The sequence below is a fragment of the Homo sapiens genome, chromosome 3 (assembly GCF_000001405.40).
Source record: "Homo sapiens chromosome 3, GRCh38.p14 Primary Assembly".
Lineage (NCBI taxonomy): Eukaryota > Metazoa > Chordata > Mammalia > Primates > Hominidae > Homo > Homo sapiens.
This window is the reverse complement of record NC_000003.12, coordinates 18,954,219-18,977,509: the sequence shown is the minus strand read 5'-3', so window position 1 is coordinate 18,977,509 and position 23,291 is coordinate 18,954,219. Positions and strand designations below refer to the sequence as shown.

At 38.6% G+C, this 23,291-nt stretch overlaps 1 long non-coding RNA gene and 1 pseudogene across 2 annotated transcripts in view, besides 1 other annotated feature; one reads left to right on the top strand and one right to left on the bottom strand.

Annotated features, from left to right (window-relative positions):
• Nucleotides 1-11,357, bottom strand: part of LOC107986066 (uncharacterized) — a 116,751-nt gene extending 105,394 nt beyond the window's left edge. For both annotated transcript variants that reach the window (XR_001740613.2, XR_001740614.2), the window contains exon 1: nucleotides 11,103-11,357. This is a non-coding gene — a long non-coding RNA (uncharacterized LOC107986066). The remainder of the gene's footprint in view (nucleotides 1-11,102) is intronic.
• Nucleotides 11,994-13,193: an enhancer, noted in NCBI's record as "CDK7 strongly-dependent group 2 enhancer chr3:19005809-19007008 (GRCh37/hg19 assembly coordinates)". NCBI's record gives its function as "activates an origin of replication core promoter dependent on BRD2, BRD4, P300/CBP, MED14 and CDK7 cofactors, with strong dependence on CDK7, by STARR-seq in HCT116 cells {active_cell/tissue: HCT116}" and the evidence as "EXISTENCE:reporter gene assay evidence [ECO:0000049][PMID:35650434]".
• Nucleotides 22,461-22,567, top strand: RNU6-138P (RNA, U6 small nuclear 138, pseudogene; annotated as a pseudogene).

The window sequence follows — 23,291 nt, the reverse complement described above, 5'->3', positions numbered from 1 at the left end:
ATAATATCCTGCAGAGTGTTTTCCAACTTGGTTCCATTCTCCCCATGACTTTCAGGTACACCAATCAGACGTAGATTTGGTCTTTTCACATAGTCCCGTATTTCTTGGAGGCTTTGTTCATTTCTTTTTATTCATTTTTCTCTAAACTTCCCTTCTCTCTTCGTTTCATTCATTTCATCTTCCATCGCTGATACCCTTTCTTCCAGTTGATCACATCGGCTCCTGAGGCTTCTGCATTCTTCACGTAGTTCTCGAACCTTGGCTTTCAGCTCCATCAGATCCTTTAAGCACTTCTCTGTATTGGTTATTCTAGTTATACATTCGTCTAAATTCTTTTCAAAGTTTTTAACTTCTTTGCCTTTGGTTTGAATTTCCTCCTGTGGCTCGTAGTTTGATCGTCTGAAGCCTTCTTCTCTGAACTCGTCAAAGTCATTCTCTGTCCAGCTTTGTTCCATTGCTGGTGAGGAACTGCATTCCTTTGGAGGAGGAGACGTGCTCCGCTTTTCAGAGTTTCCAGCTTTTCTGCTGTTTTTCCCCCATCTTTGTAGTTTTATCTACTTTTGGTCTTTGATGATGGTGATGTACAGATGGGTTTTTGGTGTGGATGTCCTTTCTGTTTGTTTTCCTTCTAACAGACAGGACCCTCAGCGGCAGGTCTGTTGGAGTTTGCTAGAGGTCCACTCCAGACCCTGTTTGCCTGGGTATCAGCAGCTGTGTTTGTAGAACAGCGGTTTTTCGTGAACCGCGAATGCTGCTGTCTGATCGTTCCTCTGGAAGTTTTGTCTCAGAGGTGTACCTGGCCGTGTGAAGTGTCAGTCTGCCCCTACTGGGGGGTGCCTCCCAGTTAGGCTGCTCAGGGGTCAGGGGTCAGGCACTCACTTGAGGAGGCAGTCTGCCCATTCTCAGATCTCCAGCTGCGTGCTGGGAGAACCACTGCTCTCTTCAAAGCTGTCAGACAGGGACATTTAAGCTTGTAGAGGTTACTGCCGTCTTTTTGTTTGTCTGTGCCCTGCCCCCAGAGGTGGAGCCTACAGAGGCAGGCAGGCCTCCTTGAGCTGTGGTGGGCTCCACCCAGTTCGAGCTTCCTGGCTGCTTTGTTTACCTAAGCAAGCCTGGGCAATGGCGGGCGCACCTCCCCCAGCCTCGCTGCCTCCTTGCAGTTTGATCTCAGACTGCTGTGCTAGCAATCAGCAAGACTCCGTGGGCGTAGGACCCTCCGAGCCAGGTGCGGGATATAGTCTCGTGGTGCACCGTCTTTTAAGCCCGTCGGAAAAGCTCAGTACTCGGGTGGGAGTGACCCAATTTTCCAGGTGCTTTCTTTCACCCCTTTCTTTGACTAGGAAAGGGAACTCCCTGACCCCTTGTGCTTCCCGAGTGAGGCAATGCCTCGCCCCGCTTTGGCTCGTGCAAGGTGTGCTGCACCCACTGACGTGCGCCCACTGTCTGGCACTCCCTAGTGAGATGAACCCGGTACCTCAGACGGAAATGCAGAAATCACCCGTCTTCTGCGTTGCTCACCCTGAGAGCTGTAGATTGGAGCTGTTCCTATTTGGCCATCTTAATTTGGTGACCAGAAAGACTTCTCATCTTCTTATCTGTAATACTGCATACTTTCCAAATCCCAAGGAAAGGCTGTCTTGAGTCGTAATTATGTTCCTGGGCACACTAACACTCAGGAGGGGGAGGGCAAAGCTCGAGATTGAAATTTTTAAAAAGTCAAGCAGATACTCTGGAACTTAAACATTCAATTGACAAACTGAAAAATGCATTAGAGTCTCTCAACAGCAGATCTAATCAAGCAGAATAAATACCGAGGCTGAAGACAGAAGACAGCCTACTTGAAAATACAGTCAGAGGAGAAAAAAGAAAAAAGAATGGAACACACTTACAAGATCTAGAAAATAGCCTCAGAAGGACAAATCTAAGAGATATTGGCTTTAAAGAGGAAATAGAAAGAGAGACTGGGGTAGGAAGTTTATTCAGAAATAATAACACAGAACTTTTCAAATCCAGAGAGAGATATCAATATTTAAGTACAAGAAAGCCATAGAACATCAAGCACATGTAACCTAAATAAGATAATTAATAATCAAATTCCCTAAGGTCAAGGATAAGGACACTAAAGCATCAACAGAAAAGAAACAAATAACATACAAAGGAGCTCCAATGTCTGGCAGCAAACTTTTCAGTGACAACCTTACAGGCAAGGAGAGCGGCATGACATATGCAAAGTGCAGAAGGAAAAAATCTTGTCTTAGGATATTATATCCAATAATATATCCAACACATCCTTCAAACAGGAAGCAGAAATAAACACTTTCTGAGACAAACAAAAGCTGAGGAATTTCATCAACACAGACCTGTCTCACAGGAAATGCTAAAGAAAGTTCTTCAATCTGAAAGAAAAGGGTGTTATCAAGCAATAAGAAATTATCTGTGGGCACAAAACTCACTGATAACAGTAAGTGCACAGACAAACACAGAATACACTAACATTGCAATTGTGGTGTGTAAATTACTTATATCTTGAGTATGAAGACTAAAAGACCAGTCTATCAAGAATAATAACTAGGCCAGGCACAGTGTCTCATGCCTGTAATCCCAGCACCTTGGGAGGCCAAGGTAGGCAGATTGCTTGAGGTCAGGAGTTTGAGACAAGGCTGGCCAACATGGTGAAACCCTGTCTCTACTAAAAATACAAAGATTATCTGGGCATGGTGGAGTGCACCTGTAATCCCAGCTACTCAGGAGGCTGAGGCAGGAGAATCACTTGCACCTGTGAGGCGGAGGTTGCGGTGAGCTGAGATCATGCTACCGCACTCCAGCCCGGGCAACAGAGTGAGAACCTGTCTCAAAAAAAAATAATAATAATAACTACAAAAGCTTTTTCAAAAATAGCAAAAATGACAAATAGAAACAAGAAGTTAAATAGTAGGGTGATGAAGTTGAATTACACAGTTTTTGTTAGTTTTCTCTTTGCTTGTTTTTTCTCTTAGAATCAGAGTTAAATTGTCATCAGTTTAAAATAGTGGCTTATAAGATATAATTTGCAAGCATTGTGGTGGCCCTAAATAAATAAATAAGTAAATAAATAAATAAATAAAAAGTAAATACACGAAATATGAAAAGCAGGAAATTAAAACATACCACCAGAGAAAAATCACTTTTCCACAAAGGAAGACAGGAAGGAAGGCAGGAAGGAAGGAAGGCCATAAAACAACTAGAGAACAAATAACAAAATGAAAGTAGTAAATTCCTACCTATCAGTAAGAACACTGAATGTAAATGAACTGAATTCTCTAATCAAGGGACATAAAATGGCTCAATGGATTAAAAAAAAAAAAGACCCAAATATATGCTGCCTACAAGAAACTCACTTCACCTCTGAAGACACACAGACTAAAAATAAAGGAATTAAAAATATATAACATGCAAATGAAAACCAAAAATATAAAAAGCTGGAGTAGCTATACTTACATTAGATAAAATATATTTTAATATAAATACTGTAAAAAGAGACAAGGTAATTGCATAATGATTAAGGGGTCAATTCAGCAAGAGGAAATAACAATTTTAAATATATATGTATACAACACCGGAGCACCGAGATATATAAAGCAAATTTTATTAGAGCTAAAGAGAGTTAGACCTCAAAACAATAATAGCTGGAGAACTAAACACCCCACTGTCAGCATTGGACATATAGAAAATCAGCAAAGAAAAACTAAACTTAATCTGCACTATAGACCACATGGACCCAATAGATATTTGGAGAACATTTCATCCAATGGTTGCAAAATACAAATTCTTCGCAGCACATGGATCATTCTTGAGAATAGACCATATGTTAAGTCACAGAAAAAGACTTTAAAAACTAAAAAAAATTGAAATCTTATTAAGTAATTTGTCTGACCACAGTGGAATAAAAGTATAAATCAACAAGAAGAGGAACTTTGAAAACTATACAAGCATATATAAATAAACTGTATGCTTCTGAATGAGGAGTGAGTCAATAAAGAAATTATAAAGCAAATTTCTTTAAACAAATGAAAATGGAAACACAGCATACTAAAACCCATGGGATACAGCAAAAGCAGTGCTAAAAGGAAAGTTTATAGCAGTAAGTACCTGCATTAAAAAAGTAGAAAAACCTCAAATAAACAAGCTAATGATGCATCTTAAAGAACTAGAAAGCAAGAGCAATCCAAACTGAACATTGGTAAATAAAAGAAGTAATAAATATCAGAGAACAAATAGCTAAAATTGTAACAAAAATATGAAAGATGAAAAACATGAAAAGTCAAGTTTTTGCAAGGCAACTTTTATTCAAATGAAGAGCAAAAGAAAGAAACAAACAAAATCAGAGATGAAAAATGAGACATTACAACTGATACTGCAGAAATTCAAAGGATCATTAGAAGCAACAACTATGAGCAGCTATATCCCAATAAATTGAAAAACTTAGAATAAATAAATAAATCCCTAGATACATAAAACCTCCCAAGATTGAATCATGAAGAAATTCAAAACCTAAATACACCAATGACAAGTAATGAGATGAATGCTATAATAAAAAGTCTCACATCAAAGAAAATTCTGGATCCCAATGGTTTCACTACTGAATTTTACCAATAATTTAAAGAAGAGCCAATACCAACCCTACCCAAACTATTGCAAAAAATAGAGGAGGGGGGAACACTTCCAAACCTATTCTATGAGGGCAGTATTACCCTGATAACAAAACCAGACAAAGACACAACAAGAAAGAAACTATATGCCAATATCGCTGATGAACATTAATGCAAACATTCTGAACAAAATACTAGCAAACCAAATTAAACAACACAATAAAAGAATCATTCATCACAACAAAGTAAGATTTATGCCAGGGCTGCAAGAATGTTACAACATATGTGACTCAATCAATACGATACATCATATGAACAGAATGAAGGACAAAAAACATATGATAATTTCAATCAGTGCTGAAAAAGCATTCAATAAAATTCAACATCTCTTCAGGATAAAAACCTTCAAAAAGATGGCTCTAGAAGGAACATACCCCAACACAATAAAAGACATACATAACTGACCCAAAGCTAGTATCAAATGTGGAATACATGAAGTCTTTCCTCTAAGATCTGGAATATGACAAGGATGCACACTTTAACTGCTGTTATTCAACATAGTACTGGAAGTCTTAGCTAGATCAGCTAGACAAGAGAAGATATAAAGCACAACCAAATTGGAATAAAAGAAGTCAAGTTATCCTTGTTTGCAGATAATATGATCTTATACTTGGAAAAACCTAAAGACTCCACCAGAAAACTATTAGAACTGATAAACAAATTGGGTAAAATTGCAGGATACAAAATGAACACATAAAAATCAGTAACTTTTCTATATGCCAAAAGCAAATAATCTGAAAAAAAAACTAAGACAGTAACCCCATTAAAAATAGCTATAAATAAAATAAAATTTCAAGGTATAAACTTAACCAAAACAGGAAAGATCTCCACAATGAAAACTATAAAACATTGATGCAAGAAATTGAAGAGGACACAGAGAAATGGAAAAATATTCCATGTTCATGAAATGGAAAAATCAATATTGTTATACTGTCTATTCTACACAAGGCAATCTACAGATTCAATGCAATCCCTGTCAGAATACCAATAACATTCTTCATAGAAAGACAAAAAACATCCTAATATTTATATGGTACCACAAAAGGCCCAGAATAGTCAATGCTATCCTGAGCAAAAAGAACAAAGCTGGAGGAATCACATTACCTGATTTTAAATTATATTACAGAGTTGTAGTAACCAAAACAGCATGGTACTATCATAAAAACAGACACATAGATCAAAGGAACAGAATGGAGAACCCAGAAATAAATACACTTACCTACAGCGAACTCATTTTTGACAAAGTTTCCAAGAACATACACTGGGGAAGGGACAGTCTCTTCAATAAATAGTACTAGGAAAACTGGATATCCATACATGGAAGAATGAATAGACCCCTCTCTCTCACTATATATAAAAATCTAATCAAAATGGATTAAAGATTTAAGTCTAAGAGCTAAAACTATGAAACCACTAAAAGAAAACATTGGGGAAACTCTCCAGGGCATTGGAGTGGGCAAAGGTTTCATGAGTAATGGTTCACAAGCCCAGGCAACCAAAGCAAAAATTGACAAACAGGATCACAGCAAGCTAAAAAGCTTCTGCACAGCAAAGGAAACAATCAACAAAGTGAAGAGGCAATCCCCAGAATAGGAGAAAACATTTGCAAGCTAACCATTTGGCAAGAAATTAATAACCAGACTCTACAAGGAGCTTAAATAACTCAATAGGAAAAAAATCTAATAATCTGATTAAAAATGGGCAAAAGGCCCAAATAGACATTTCTCAAAAGAAGACATACAAATGGTTAACAGGTATATAAAAACATGCTAGCATTATTAATCATCAGAGAAATGCAAATCAAAACTGAAATGTGTTATCTTATTCCTGTTAAAATGGCTTGTATCAAAAAGACAGACTGAGGAATCATGGCAAGAATATGGAAAAAGGAGAATACTCACACACTGTTGGTGGGAACATACATTAATACAGCTACTATGGAGAACAGTATTGAGTTTCCTCAAAAAATTATAAAAAAAAGAAAACTATCATATAACATAGCAATCTCAGTGCTAGGTATATATCCCAAAGAAAGGAAATTATTATATCAAAAAATATCTGCACTCCTATGTTTATTGCAGCATTATTCACAATAGAAAGATTTGAAATCAACCTAAGTGTCCATCAACAGATGAATTAATAAAGAAAACATGATATATATGCACAATATAATATTATTTGGCCATAAGAAATAATGAAATCCTATCATTTGCAAAAACATGGATGGAACTGGAGGACATTATGTTAAGCAAAATAAGCCAGGCACAGAAAAACAAATTTTGCATGTTCTCATATGTGGGAGCTAAAAATTAAAACAATTGAACTCTTGGAGATAGAGAGTAGAATCATGGCTACCAGAGGCTTGGAAGGGTAACGGGGGACTTGGAGGATTTTCTGATGATTAATAGGTGCAAAAATATAGTAGAAGGAATGAATAAGACCTAGTATTTGATAGCACAACAGGGTGACTACAGTCAACAATAATTTATTGTACATTTAAAATAACTAAAAGAGTGGAAATGGAATGTTTCTAACACAAAAAAATGATAAATTCCTGAAGTGAAAGATACCTTATTTACCCTGATGTTATTATTATTGGATGCCTTTATCAAAAGATGTACCCCATATGATGTGATTACTCCATTGCATGCCTTTATCAAAACATGTATCCCATAAATATATACACCTACTGTGTACCCATAACAATTAAAAATTAAATAAAATCAATTAAAAAAATGGGAAATTTTGTATAAGAACTTCAATTTCCAACCTTTTATGAAATCAGATCCAGCAATCTGAATGTCATTCTTCTCACCTAATAACAGTGGGTTTCAGATTTGCTGCCTCCTCTTAAAGAGGTAGACTCTCCAATTTGTCCCCAGTCTGCTCCCTTTACCTTCCTCACTTCTCATTTCCCCGTAGAGTGTTTTTATATTATTTTAGTAATGTTGCTGTATTCACACAAGGGACACCCCTTGGAGAATCTTCCCCTCATGAATCACCATTCTTACCTTAACCCCACCTGTCCACACCCATACCCCCATATAGCAGCACAAGTACAATCAGGCCAAAGCAGGCTGAAATGCCTCTTGCCCAAAGTTGTGAAATCGAAACCTTTTTTTTTTGTCCATGGCATCAGGCAGGAATTGATCAGAGAAGTGAATGTTCCAGGAGTGACTGAAAATATGGGGCTTCTCATAGAGATTTTACCATTTAATATTGTGGGAGCTGGTGAAACAGTAGATGTGGGGCTACTGTGTTTGCATCTAGTTCTGTGCCTGATATCAGCAGGGCTTGCTGTGCAAAAAAAGAAAAGTCGCTGTTAAATAGGAAGAGCAGGACCAGCTGGAACCTCTGAGGAGATCTGGGACTCAATTCCATGCTTCCTGCTTGGTTAATGAGAGTGATCTGCTGGAGAAGCCAATCCTCTTATGGAGATAAACAGAATCCTGGCCCAGGGTTCACAGAAGGTGAAGGATGAGACCTAGCCAGAGTTGGAAGAACAGTGCTCGACTACTGCCTCACACCAACCAGGCAAGCCAGAATACCTGTGATAAGGTGCATGAGCTACAACCAATCCTGACTCTGCACCAACCCTTCAAGCATAAACATGACCATTGTTGTATTACTGCCTTTTAACCCCATGCAGAATTTTCTTATGGCCAATTGGTAGCTTGGAACCATAAAAGGAAGGAGATTCTGGGAATTGTAATTGCAGTTCAGCTAAATTAAAAAAAAAAAAAATAGAGCCGGGCTGGGCGTGGTGGCTCACGTCTGTAATCCCAGCACTTTGGGAGGCCGAGGCAGGCGGATCACGAGGTCAGGAGATTGAGACCATCCTGGCTAACACGGTGAAACCCCGTCTCTACTAAAAATACAAAAAATTAGCCGGGTGTGATGACGGGCGCGCCTGTAGTCCCAGCTACTCAGGAGGCTGAGGCAGGAGAATGGCGTGAACCCGGGAGGCGAAGCTTGCAGTGAGCCGAGCTCGCGCCACTGCACTCCAGCCTGGGCGACAGAGCAAGACTCCGTCTCAAAAAAAAAAAAAAAAAAAACAACCCAAAAAACAAAAAAACAAAAACCGTAGAGCCACAATAGCTAAGAGTCAAGAAATCTTAACTGTCATAATCTCTTGCCTTGATAGCTTCATTTTCCCACCTTTGAGTCACCAGAAGGATCAGAAGCATGCCAAGATTTTTGTTTGTTTTTCAATGAGACTTGGAAGAATCCATAGAACTTGGGTCATGAGATATTCATAGGATAGTGCCTCCTAATTGTCTGCTACCCTTACATAAAGTCTGAAAGGCTCATTTTGCAAGTCCAGCTTCTATCTTGATTGACTACCACAAACCTATCTCTCTTCTTCCTGGTTCAATCCCGCCTTAGCCAACTAGTTCCAGTGCTCTGAGGCACTGACTCATCTGTATTCCAGGCCCACTCCCCTCAGGGTAAGGATGCTTCCATCCAAGCAGCAGCCACTGACGTTACCATTGCCACATTTGTTCTGTTCTTAGGCCCCAGCCCTGGTTTCAAAAGTCTCTGAGAGGAAGAAACTGCAGAATCTTGTTTTACACACAGTAAAGGCCTTATGTAATCCTGCTCATCCACTGATGACCACATGCATTAGTTCTGACGTTGCTGCTCAGCACAGCAGCTTACAGGGAAAGCAGAAAACAGAAGCACCTCCCCTCAGGGTTACCCTTATCTGTAATGGCTTATACTGCCTGAGGACTGGGCTTTCATTTTTACAGCTGCCTGTGTAGTACTCACATGCACAGGTAACCTGCCCCAAGTGCATTCACAAAGTCCAGGTTAGGTGGCAGTTCCAGCCTGATCCTCACACTGTGCTCAACCCTGGTCTATGGCAACAACTGAAATCCACCCTTACACTCATAACAAATTTCACATTAAGGGCCCTGAGTGTCTTCTGCTGCTGATCAGCCTCACTTGGGACAATCTTAATAAATCAGAGTCATTCTAATAATCTTTAACCCCAAAGAGAAGGACATTTTAATCTTTTCTTTCCTAGAATCTCGTTGATCCCTTATACAAACTTGACCACCCTTACCAGTTTACCATGCTAAGAGCTATGGAATGGGGAGGAGTTAAGCCTTAAAAATTGCCCCATTGTGCTCAGTCTTAGCTGAAGTTCTCCCTAAAGTGATATGAGGAAACAGGAATGAGGGATAGGTAGAGTGAAACAGGAAAGGAGAAAAAACTAAGACAAGGATGCATGATCGAGTTGAACCCTGCTATGTGACTGATGTTCATCACATGAGATTTTCTGGAAAGCCTTATAAAATACATCTTCGACCCATCTGTCTGGGAGATAGAAAAGGAAATAATTTATCTATTGGCCTCCTAATCCGTTCACATTTCTGGGTTGCGTGTATTTTGAGTTTTGAGTGGAAAAGCTCATGTGGAACTGGTTATTACAGCAGTGGCTGGGAAAGTAATAGGGCTGAGCAGAAAGTGGGGCACAAGAGGAGTCAGGGGCAGCTTATTCATTGCAATGCTTAGCTTCACTTATGCCTTTCAGTAAGGCCATGTCCACTGACCTGGTTATAGAAGACTACTGTCTTCCTAAAATTTAAGAAAATGTGTTCATTTTATAGAAAAATAGGGTGTAGACACCAAATTTTTGGAGAAAATATCAAGCTTACCTTTGTGATCTTCCCACTGATTTAGACATTAATAAACTCACTGGATTAGATATAAATAAAACATGACAATAACTGATTCCTTACATAATCAAATAATACATATTTTCCCAAGGAAAAACTTTTCAATTACAGAGGCTTCCCAGAAGCCCGTATTTGCAATGGTGCAACATATGCATTGTTGTGTTCCAGCAATATAGTTGAAAAATTGTTGATGTTTGTTAAATTAAGTAAAATTGAACTGGCATGAATTGAAGGAGTGGGAGGAAGACGATATAATCATTGTGCTAGGGACGTTATATCAAATATGAGGTAGGTAATAATATTCCCATTTTGCAGATGAGGAAACTAAGGTTTAGAGACAATAGGTGAGTTGCTAAACATCACACAAGTAGTAGTTAATATGGAAGTTCATGAATTCTAACAGCCAACCCTCTTTCCACAATATCAAATGCTACCTTGAATTGATACAAATGTAAATTGAGTCAAAGTTAACTGAAATGAATAGTATTGAACTGGAAAATTCATCACAGTGCAGAGATGTGGGGCTCAAGACTCTGTAGTGCTCACATTAATTATGGTATATCATTACATCCAACACCAATCACTATATGCCTATTTCCTAAGGGTCACTCTTTAAAATATTGAACCCTTAATATGTCTTTAATCTACTTTTATTAATAAAAGTTTTAGTTAATCAAAAAAGTTTTGAACCAAACTCTTGGGTGATTTATATTGCTGTAATAATACCTACCTCTTTCTTTGTGAGAATGGCCCCTTTGGTCTCAGAGTGCAGGAAACAGTCCTGATTAGCATTGGTTCATAATACTTCTGGTCTCATTTGACCTGTCCGCATGGTGCAAAGTTGTCTGGAATAATAATCATAGTAGGAACGTTCACTAGTGCATCAGCTACCAAGATAAGCTTTTAGGAAGCAAGTTCTGTACTTCGTTTTTAAAAGTCATCTCACACTTTGAGCCAACACACTTAAGAAAAAGCAACAACTGGCAATATTATCATTGTGGAATGCTACTTACAGGTGGCTTTTAAAAACTAGATCAAGTTCAACTGCCTCATTTTTCAGAACAGGAAACAATGCTAAAACACCAAACTGATCTCCCAGTTTACATAGAATATTCACACATCTACTATCCTGTCTCTTAGGTAATTTGCGGCATCAGCCCCTAGAGATTAAGCAAATTGCCTAAGGTCTCATGGTTAATTAGTGACAAAACGAATATGAAGAGTCAGAAACCTTGAGGTTTGTTAAATGTGTACTTTTTTTGACTGATTTGGTGAACAAATATATATTGAGCAAGGTGGAATAGACACTGTACTTAGAACTTTGCATTGGAGTGGCAAAAAGAGAGTGTGAAATATTCAATAAGTGCTGTATTGCCCTCAACCTGCATACAGTCTAATAGCAAAGGAAAAGTTGCCAATAAAATTGGAAAATGCCTGTGAGTAGTTCTAATCATTTTGATGAAAGTTCATGTAGGAGTGATTACATTTAGCTCAATGAAGTCAAAGGTCCTCAATGATTTCTAAGTGGGAAGATATTTGCGTAGATTTTTAGATAAGCAGGATATGTAGATATATATAAGCAGAATTTGTAGACCTGGAGCATACAAAACAGAGGGAATGGTTCTAGACAGGGACAGGCAGCAGAGAACTTAAGATGTAGAAAATAATAAGGACTCTGCTTTCTTATTTCTCAGTCACATTATATTTCTAGACTTTACTGTCTATAAAAACGTGATTTATCTTAGAATCGATTTCAAAAGAAACTTACCATCTGTAAGGATGTGAAATAAAATGTGTATTAAACAAATGATAGACTTTTCAATTGATAGTGTTTCATAGTCAAGGACTATTGATAATTCATTTTGGCAACATCATTCAAGGGTGAATGAAGAAAAGTAGCAGAAACTTCAACTTCAAATTTATCTTGTGGAGAAATCACGAAAGGCCTTGAAAATCTGATTAAAGTTATGGAAACTTTACTCTGTGGGCAATCAGAAGCTATTAAAAGAGGAAGATTACTGAGAGGTGATTAAAATAGTTAAGCACAGAAATAATCTGAAGCACCAAATTAGTTGCTGAATAACCGGCCATTCCAAAACAACAGTTTTGGAATGCTTTAGTTGCTTAAAACAACAAACATCTATTTATCTCACAATTCTACAGGTTGGTAATTTGGGCTAGGCTTTGCTGGGCAATTCTGGTTTCAGCTGGCCTCACCCATGTAACTACACTCAGTTAGTAGGGCTGGCTGATCTAAGATGGCTTCAACTGGGATGGCACATGTGGTCTCCATGTGGTTTTTCATCATCCAGCAGACTAGCTTAGACTTGTCCACGTGGAGGCTTCAAAGAGTTTCTGCAGAGAATAGAATTGGCAAGGGCACATGAAACCTAGGTTTACAACTGCCACAACGGCACTTCCACTGCATTTCATTGGTCAGAGCAAGTTACAAGTTCAGACCATATATAACGGGTGGAAAAGCAAAGCCTACCTTTTGATTCAAGATACTGCAAGTGGCAGTGCAAAGGGGCATGAGTAAAAGGAAGAGATGAAAATAGTTATGTTCATTTTTTTCAGCAATCTGCCACACTCTCCAAATTATTACTTCCTTTGTTATTTTTTTCTTTCTTAAAATTTTTATTACTATAGTAACACCATAGAAAAATAAGCTATTTTTGTGAAACAGATCTTATTAGTAATCTCTATCTAATTGGTACCTTTATTGCTAAAAGGAAGAACTGCAATACTGTTTTTAGTTAAAAATCACCAGTTCTATTTTGATTATTCAGTTCTATTCTAATAGGCCTAAATAGAAATAATCTTCTAGCCATATTTAATATGAACTAATTTAATTTTATAACTAAATTTGTCTTCTTTTTCCTCTTGTGCTTAAATTACATTATAATAAACACAATATTCTAGTCTTAGTGAAAAGTATAAATCAGTGGAGGCCCATGAAAGATATTCCAATATGCTATTTAAAAATATTTGGTAGGCCAGGTGCAGTGACTCTCACTTGTAATCCTAGCATTGTGGAAGGCTGAGATGGGAGGATTGCTTGAGCCTAGGAGTTCAAGACCAACTTGGGCAACATAGTGAAACCCTGTCTTTACAAGAAAGGAAAAAAATTAGCCAAGTGTAGAGGTGCATGCCTGTGATCCCTGCTACTCAGGAGGCTGAGGTGAGAGAATTGCTTGAGCCTGGGAGGTCAAGGCTGCAGTGAGCCATGATGCTGCCACTGCTTTCCAGCCCGGGAGACAGAGCAAGATCAGGTCTATAAAATACAACTTAAAAAAAGAATGGTGAGAGAGGAGCCAAGATGGCCGAATAGGAACAGCTCTGGTCTACAGCTCCCAGCGTGAGCGACGCAGAAGACGGGTGATTTCTGCATTTCCATCTGAGGTACCGGGTTTATCTCACTAGGGAGTGCCAGACAGTGGGCGCAGGTCAGTGGGTGCGCGCACCGTGCGCCAGCCGAAGCAGGGCAAGGCATTGCCTCACTCGGGAAGCGCAAGGGGTCAGGGGGTTCCCTTTCCGAGTCAAAGAAAGGGGTGACAGACGTACCTGGAAAATCGGGCACTCCCACCCAAATACTGCGCTTTTCCAACCGGCTTAAAAAACGGCGCACCACGAGATTTTATCCTGCACCTGGCTCGGAGGGTCCTACGCCCACGGAATCTCGCTGATTGCTAGCACAGCAGTCTGAGATCAAACTGCAAGGCAGCAGCGAGGCTGGGGGAGGGGCGCCCGCCATTGCCCAGGCTTGATTAGGTAAACAAAGCAGCCTGGAAGCTCTAACTGGGTGGAGCCCACCACAGCTCAAGGAGGCCTGCCTGCCTCTGTAGGCTCCACCTCTGGAGGCAGGGCACAGACAAACAAAAAGACAGCAGTAACCTCTGCAGACTTAAATGTCCCTGTCTGACAGCTTTGAAGAGAGCAGTGGTTCTCCCAGCACGCAGCTGGAGATCTGAGAACGGGCAGACTGCCTCCTCAAGTGGGTCCCTGACCCCTGACCCCCGAGCAGCCTAACTGGGAGGCACCCCCCAGCAGGGGCACACTGACACCTCACACGGCAGGGTATTCCAACAGACCTGCAGCTGAGGGTCCTGTCTGTTAGAAGGAAAACTAACAAACAGAAAGAACATCCACACCAAAAACCCATCTGTACATCACCATCATCAAAGACCAAAAGTAGACAAAACTATAAAGATGGGGAAAAAACAGAAGAGAAAAACTGGAAACTCTAAAAAGCATAGCGCCTCTCCTCCTCCAAAGGAATGCAGTTCCTCACCAGCAATGGAACAAAGCTGGATGGAGAATGACTTTCACGAGCTGAGAGAAGAAGGCTTCAGACAATCAAATTACTCTGAGCTACGGGAGGACATTCAAACCAAAGGCAAAGAAGTTGAAAACTTTGAAAAAAATTTAGAAGAATGTATGACTAGAATAACCAATACAGAAAAGTGCTTAAAGGAGCTGATGGAGCTGAAAACCAAGGCTCGAGAACTACGTGAAGAATGCAGAAGCCTCAGGAGGCGATGCAATCAACTGAAAGAAAAGGTATCAGCGATGGAAGATGAAATGAATGAAATGAAGTGAGAAGGGAAGTTTAGAGAAAAAAGAATAAAAAGAAATGAGCAAACCCTCCAAGAAATATGGGACTATGTGAAAAGACCAAATTTACATCTGAGTGGTGTACCTGAAAGTGATGGGGAGAATGGAACCAAGTTGGAAAACACTCTGCAGGATATTATCCAGGAGAACTTCCCCAATGTAGCAAGGCAGGCCAATGTTCAGATTCAGGAAATACAGAGAACACCACAAAGATACTCCTTGAGAAGAGCAACTCCAAGACACATAATTGTCAGATTCACCAAAGCTCAAATGAAGGAAAAAATGTTAAGGGCAGCCAGAGAGAAAGGTCGGGTTACCCTCAAAGGGAAGCCCATCAGACTAACAGCGGATCTCTTGGCAGAAACCCTACAAGCCAGAAGAGAGTGGGGGCCAATATTCAACATTCTTAAAGGAAAGAATTTTCAACCCAGAATTTCATATCCAGCCAAACTAAGCTTCATAAGCGAAGGAGAAATAAAATACTTTACAAACAAGCAAATGCTGAGAGATTTTGTCACCACCAGGCCTGCCCTAAAAGAGCTCCTGAAGGAAGCACTAAACATGGAAAGGAACAACCGGTACCAGCCACTGCAAAATCATGCCAAAATGTAAAGACCTTCGAGACTAGGAAGAAACTGCATCAACTAACGAGCAAAATAGCCAGCTAACATCATAATGACAGGATCAAGTTCACACATAACAATATTAACTTTAAATGTAAATGGACTAAATGCTCCAATTAAAAGACACAGACTGGCAAATTGGATAAAGAGTCAAGACCCATCAGTGTGCTGTATTCAGGGAACCCATCTCACGTGCAGAGACACACATAGGCTCAAAATAAAAGGATGGAAGAAGATCTACCAAGCAAATGGAAAACAAAAAAAGGCAGGGGTTGCAATCCTAGTCTCTGATAAAACAGACTTTAAACCAACAAAGATCAAAAGAGACAAAGAAGGCCATTACATAATGGTAAAGGGATCAATTCAACAAGAAGAGCTAACTATCCTAAATATATATGCACCCAATACAGGAGCACCCAGATTCATAAAGCAAGTCCTGAGTGACCTACAAAGAGACTTAGACTCCCACACATTAATAATGGGAGACTTTAACACCCCACTGTCAACATTAGACAGATCAACGAGACAGAAAGTCAACAAGGATACCCAGGAATTGAACTCAGCTCTGCACCAAGCAGACCTAATAGACATCGACAGAACTCTCCACCCCAAATCAACAGAATATACATTTTTTTCAGCACCACACCACACCTATTCCAAAATTGACCACATACTTGGAAGTAAAGCTCTCCTCAGCAAATGTAAAAGAACAGAAATTATAACAAACTATCTCTCAGACCACAGTGCAATCAAACTAGAACTCAGGATTAAGAAACTCACTCAAAACCGCTCAACTACATGGAAACTGAACAACCTGCTCCTCAATGACTACTGGGTACATAACGAAATGAAGGCAGAAATAAAGATGTTCTTTGAAACCAATGAGAACAAAGACACAACATACCAGAATCTCTGGGACGCATTCAAAGCAGTGTGTAGAGGGAAATTTATAGCACTAAATGCCCACAAGAGAAAGCAGGAAAGATCCAAAATTGACACTGTAACATCACAATTAAAAGAACTAGAAAAGCAAGAGCAAACACATTCAAAAGCTAGCAGAAGACAAGAAATAACTAAAATCAGAGCAGAACTGAAGGAAATAGAGACACAAAAAACCCTTCAAAAAATTAATGAATCCAGGAGCTGGTTTTTTGAAAGGATCAGCAAAATTGATAGACTGCTAGCAAGACTAATAAAGAAAAAAAGAGAGAAGAATCAAATAGATGCAATAAAAAATGATAAAGAGGATATCATCACCAATCCCACAGAAATGCAAACTACCATCAGAGAATACTACAAACACCTCTGCGCAAATAAACTAGAAAATCTAGAAGAAATGGATAAATTCCTCAACACATACACTCTCCCAAGACTAAACCAGGAAGAAGTTGAATCTCTGAATAGACCAGTAACAGGATCTGAAATTGTGGCAATAATCAATAACTTACCAACCAAAAAGAGTCCAGGACCAGATGGATTCACAGCTGAATTCTACCAGAGGTACAAGGAGGAACTGGTACCATTCCTTCTGAAACTATTCCAATCAATAGAAAAAGAGGGAATCCTCCCTAACTCATTTTATGAGGCCAGCATCATTCTGATACCAAAGCTGGGCAGAGGCACAACCAAAAAAGAGAATTTTAGACCAATATGCTTCATGAACATTGATGCAAAAATCCTCAATAAAATACCGGCAAAACGAATCCAGCAGCACATCAAAAAGCTTATCCACCACGATCAAGTGGGCTTCATCCCTGGGATGCAAGGCTGGTTCAATATACACAAATCAATAAATGTAATCCAACATATAAACAGAACCAAAGACAAAAACCACATGATTATCTCAATAGATGCAGAAAAAGCCTTTGACAAAATTCAACAACCCTTCATGCTAAAAACTCTCAATAAATTAGGTATTGATGGGACGTATTTCAAAATAATAAGAGCTATCTATGACAAACCCACAGCCAATATCATACTGAATGGGCAAAAACTGGAAGCATTCCCTTTGAAAACTGGCACGAGACAGGGATGCCCTTTCTCACCACTCTTATTCAACATAGTGTTGGAAGTTCTGGCCAGAGAAATTAGGCAGGAGAAGGAAATAAAGGGTATTCATTAAGGAAAAGAGGAAGTCAAATTGTCCCTGTTTGCAGATGACATGATTGTATATCTAGAAAACCCCATTGTCTCAGCCCAAAATCTCCTTAAGCTGATAAGCAACTTCAGCAAAGTCTCAGGATACAAAATCAATGTACAAAAATCACAAGCATTCTTATACACCAAAAACAGACAAACAGAGAGCCAAATCCTAAGTGAACTCCCATTCACAATTGCTTCAAAGAGAATAAAATACCTAGGAATCCAACTTACAAGGGATGTGAAGGACCTCTTCGAGGAGAACTACAAACCACTGCTCAAGGAAATAAAAGAGGATACAAACAAATGGAAGAACATTCCATGCTCATGGTAGGAAGTATCAATATCGTGAAAATGGCCATAGTGCACAAGGTAATTTATAGATTCAGTGCCATCCCCATCAAGCTACCAATGCCTTTCCTCACAGAATTGGAAAAAACTACTTTAAAGTTCATATGGAACCAAAAAAGAGCCCGCATTGCCAAGTCAATCCTAAGCCAAAAGAACAAAGCTGGAGGCATCACACTACCTGACTTCAAACTATACTACAAGGCTACAGTAACCAAAACAGCATGGTACTGGTACCAAAACAGAGATATAGATCAATGGAACAGAACAGAGCCCTCAGAAATAATGCCGCATATGTACAACTATCTGATCTTTGACAAACCTGAGAAAAACAAGCAATGGAGAAAGGATTCCCTATTTAATAAATGGTGCTGGGGAAACTGGCTAGCCATATGTAAAAAGCTGAAACTGGATCCCTTCCTTACACCTTATACAAAAATCAATTCAAGATGGATTAAAGACTTAAACGTTAGACCTAAAACCATAAAAATCCTAGAAGAAAACCTAGGCATTACCATTCAGGACATAGGCATGGGCAAGGACTTCATGTCTAAAACACCAAAAGCAATGGCAACAAAAGCCAAAATTGACAAATGGGATCTAATTAAACTAAAGAGCTTCTGCACAGCAAAAGAAACTACCATCAGAGTGAACAGGCAACCTACAAAATGGGAGAAAATTTTTGCAACCTACTCATCTGACAAAGGGCTAATATCCAGAATCTACAATGAACTCAAACAAATTTACAAGAAAAAAACAAAGAACCCCATCAAAAAGTGGGCAAAGGACATGAACAGACACTTCTCAAAAGAAGACATTTATGCAGCCAAAAAACACATGAAAAAATGTTCATCATCACTGGCCATCAGAGAAATGCAAATCAAAACCACAATGAGATACCATCTCACACCAGTTAGAATGGCAATCATTAAAAAGTCATAAAACAACAGGCATTGGAGAGGATGTGGAGAAATAGGAACACTTTTACACTGTTGGTGGGACTGTAAACTAGTTCAACCATTGTGGAAGTCAGTGTGGCGATTCCTCAGGGATCTAGAACTAGAAATACCATTTGACCCAGCCATCCCATTACTGGGTATATACCCAAAGGACTATAAATCATGCTGCTATAAAGACACATGCCCACGTATGTTTATTGCGGCATTATTCACAATAGCAAAGACTTGGAACCAACCCAAATGTCCAACAATGATAGACTGGATGAAGAAAATGTGGCACATATACACCATGGAATACTATGCAGCCATAAAAAAGGATGAGTTCATGTCCTTTGTAGGGACATGGATGAAATTGGAAATCATCATTCTCAGTAAACTATCGCAAGAAGAAAAAACCAAACACCGCATATTCTCACTCATAGGTGGGAATTGAACAATGAGATCACATGGACACAGGAAGGGGAATATCACACTCTGGGGACTGTTGTGGGGTGGGGGAGTGGGGAGGGATAGCATTGGGAGATATACCTAATGCTAGATGACGAGTTAGTGGGTGCAGCGCACCAGCATGGCACATGTATACATATGTAACTAACCTGCACAATGTGCACATGTACCCTAAAACTTAAAGTATAAAAAAAAAAGAAATATGTAAGCAATAAAAAAAAAATTAAAAAAAATGAATGCTTAGAACACTAAAATTGCTTTGAATCTAAAATTTTACTGACTAGCAATTTGGGGAATTTTTTCAAGTTTTCTCATCACATTGGTAAGTCTGTTTTCAAAGACCTTGAGAAACCAAGGAGAACTTTCTGATACATTTCATGAACTAAGAGAGAGGCAGAATAAAATGTAATTGGATGCCTTAAGAAAATTTTCCTTAAGTGCCAGCCCAAAAGAAATATGTCTTCCTTCCACATCTGTTTTATAAACATGTATTTAAAATACATGTGCCTCTGATTTCAACCAGTTGTCTTCTTGAAATTCAACAAATTACAAACATTGCTAGATGGAAACATCTAGAATCCAATGTCATTAAGTAAGTCAAGTGTTCTGACAATATTACATAGTTTATAAATACTAAATAATAAATCTAAATCCTTATTGAATCTCATGATCACTGCCATTTCTCCAGTTCAGGTCTTCGTCACTTTTCTTTTGGACAAATGATGTATCCTCTTAATTCATTACCCTGCTTCCAGTTTTTCCTGTTTTGCAACACATCATTTTGCTCATCGGTTCATTTCTAATGGGATATTAGTCTAGCCAGATGTTCTCTGAAGATAAAGGATCTGTGTTCAAATAAGTTGTAAAGTGCTATACATACCATATCCTCCATGTTTGTAGAGTCATAACACCTGTTAGCACGTGAAAAGCTTTGAGAAGTCCTGGGTAATATGAAGACATTAATGTGTGTTTCTTTTCCACATTACTGATGATCCTCACTTTGTTTAATCTGAGGCACCTAATGCCTTAGAGATAATTAGGATGTTTATAACAGGAATTTGGAGAGAAAGAGTCAGTATTCAGCATTCAACTTCCCAAAGAGGACTATGAATATGAAGGCTAGAAAAATTATTGAAACCCTAGCTTTAGTGGGAGAGATGGATTTCTAATTGTTGAAGACCTTCTGCTTATCAAAAATCAGGCTTGGTGGAATCATAGATCACTAAGTTTTACCAAAAAATAATGTTGAGAGGAAAATTAGAAAGCAATCTTATATGGGGAATGCCAATCAGAAAAAGGAAAGAAGATACCACTCATGAGAGGAAGAAGAGCATTTGGAAGGATTAAGCATAGTGTAAAAAAGCAACCTGGATTTTTCAGGAATCCAGTCAACTCACCTCCATTAACTGTAATCCAAGGGGCACAGGAGAGGGGAGAGGAAAACTCCAGGGAAGTTGGAAGGGAAGTTGAACCCCTAAGGTGCATGTATTTTCCTTCCCAGTTGTAACTCTGAACTAAGACTGACTTCCAAGATTCTTCCTTGTGCTGATATGAGATGGTTATAGTGGAATGGAAAATATTATAGACATATTTAGGTAGAGAAACAGCAGGAAATTTTGCCAATGGAACATCCCTTGACAGCTCTGTGATGTGGAAGGGATTCAAAATTTCTTTCATGCTCTCACTGGGGTAACTGGAAATACCTAAGAAGTAATAACAGTTGGTCTTCCATGGGTCAATATAGCAAATTGCAAAGTGATCACATATGAGATACAGTGGAGTGGGCAATCTAAGCAAGAAGTAGAAGTTACAGCTGAAAATCAGAAGATTTAGAAAGTCAGTGAAAACCAAGTACAAACATAACATCCGGAAGAAAGGATGAATATATATTAGTTTACTGAAGCTGCTGTAACGAATCTGTTCCATGTCTCTCTTCTAGCTCCTGGTGGTTTGCTGGAAATATTTGCTGTTCTTTGGCTTATAGAAGCATCACCCCCAACTCTGCCTTTATCCTCACATGGCATAGTCCTGGTTTGCATGTCTTTCTCCAAACTTCTACCTTTTTGTAAGGACATAGTCACATTGGATTGGGACCTATCTTAATAACCTCTCAACTACTTATATCAGCAATGGCCTTATTTCAAAATAAGATCACATTCTGAGTTACTAGGAATTAGGACTTTGTCACATGAATTTTGAGGGGATATAATTCAACCCATAACTATAAGGATAGATACCTTGAGACTTGATTTTTCTGTGACAACAAGTAATAAGGTATATCTGTTATAGTCACTTGAACAGCAGAAACAGTAGGAAAAAAGGCCATTGCCCAGAGTAAGGTGAGACAAGCTACACTTCAATGGGAGTTCACTAAGAGTAAGCCCCAGAAAACATTTGCACAATTCCAGACACCATTTGGAAAAGGAAATGGTGAGTATCACCTGGAGAAGTTAAACTGAGTGAACACTCACTAAATGAGGAGATTTTAAACTGGAAAATATTGAGTTACCTGTAACTGGAAAGTTTACATTACTTTCCAACCATCAGTAGATATGGGGATCATAAAGGAATTTAGGTACATAGCTAGCAATATTAGGAAAATTTTTACAAATGAGTGTAAATATGAATTGTCTACTCTGTTATGTCGGTAAATCTTTTTCCTTTTTAGATCCAGAATCTCTCAAATTTATTTGTCAATAAAAAAAGTACATTAATACATGATATCATCTCTTAGAATTAGTATTACACAGAACATCCTCTGGAAAATAGGGTCCTAGGATATTATTAGGTTATTTCTTCAAAATAATCTTTCAAGAAATTGTTTGTTATTCATTTGTTTAAAAAACACTTATTGCAGTTCTTGCATGTTTGGGGCGTTATGCTAGGTGCATAGACTAGAAAGATAACTAAATCATGAATTCTGATTTCAAGAAAGTCACAGATTTTCAGAGAAAATATGTACTTGCTTTGGCAGCACATATACTAATATTGGAACAGTACAGAGATGACTAACATGAATACTGTACAAGGATTGCATAAAATTTTATAAAGAGATTCACATTTTCTCTTCAGTAGTTTATTTTCCTTCTAAGACAATGATCAAGGCAAAGATGTTCTCTCACTATTTCTACTCTACATTAAATGAGAAGTTTAAGAAAGTACAATAATGCAAGAGAAAGGCATAAAAATTAGAGAGTATGATGAAACCCCATCTCTACTAAAAATACAAAAATTAGCTGGGCATGGTGGTGTGCACCTGTGGTCCCAGCTACTCAGAAAGCTGAGGCAGGAGAATCACTTGAACCCAGGAGACAGGTTGCAGTGAGCCAAGATCGCACCACTGCACTCCAGTCTGGGCAACAGAGTGAGACACAGTCTCAAAAAAAAAAAAAAAAAAAAAGAATTTAAACTGTCAGTATTTGCAGATGACATGATTGTGTAGTAAATCTTAAAGGATATATAAATATCCACTAGACTACATAGCAATTTAGCAAGGTCTCAATATACAACGTTAAAATGAAAATTTTAAAGTTCTATTTCCACTGCTTCCAAATATGTAAAATATTTAGTATAAATTAATGCAAACAAAATCTCTGTACAGAATCCACAAAATATTAATGAGAGAAACTTTTAAAGTCCCAAGTATATGGGGTGATAGACCATGTTCATGGACTGGCAGACTCAGTATTATCAAGATGTCAACTCTTCCCAAGTTGATATACAGATTCAACATAAGCCCAATCATAATTGCAATATGCTTTTTATTTTAAAAATTGATAAGTGGATTCT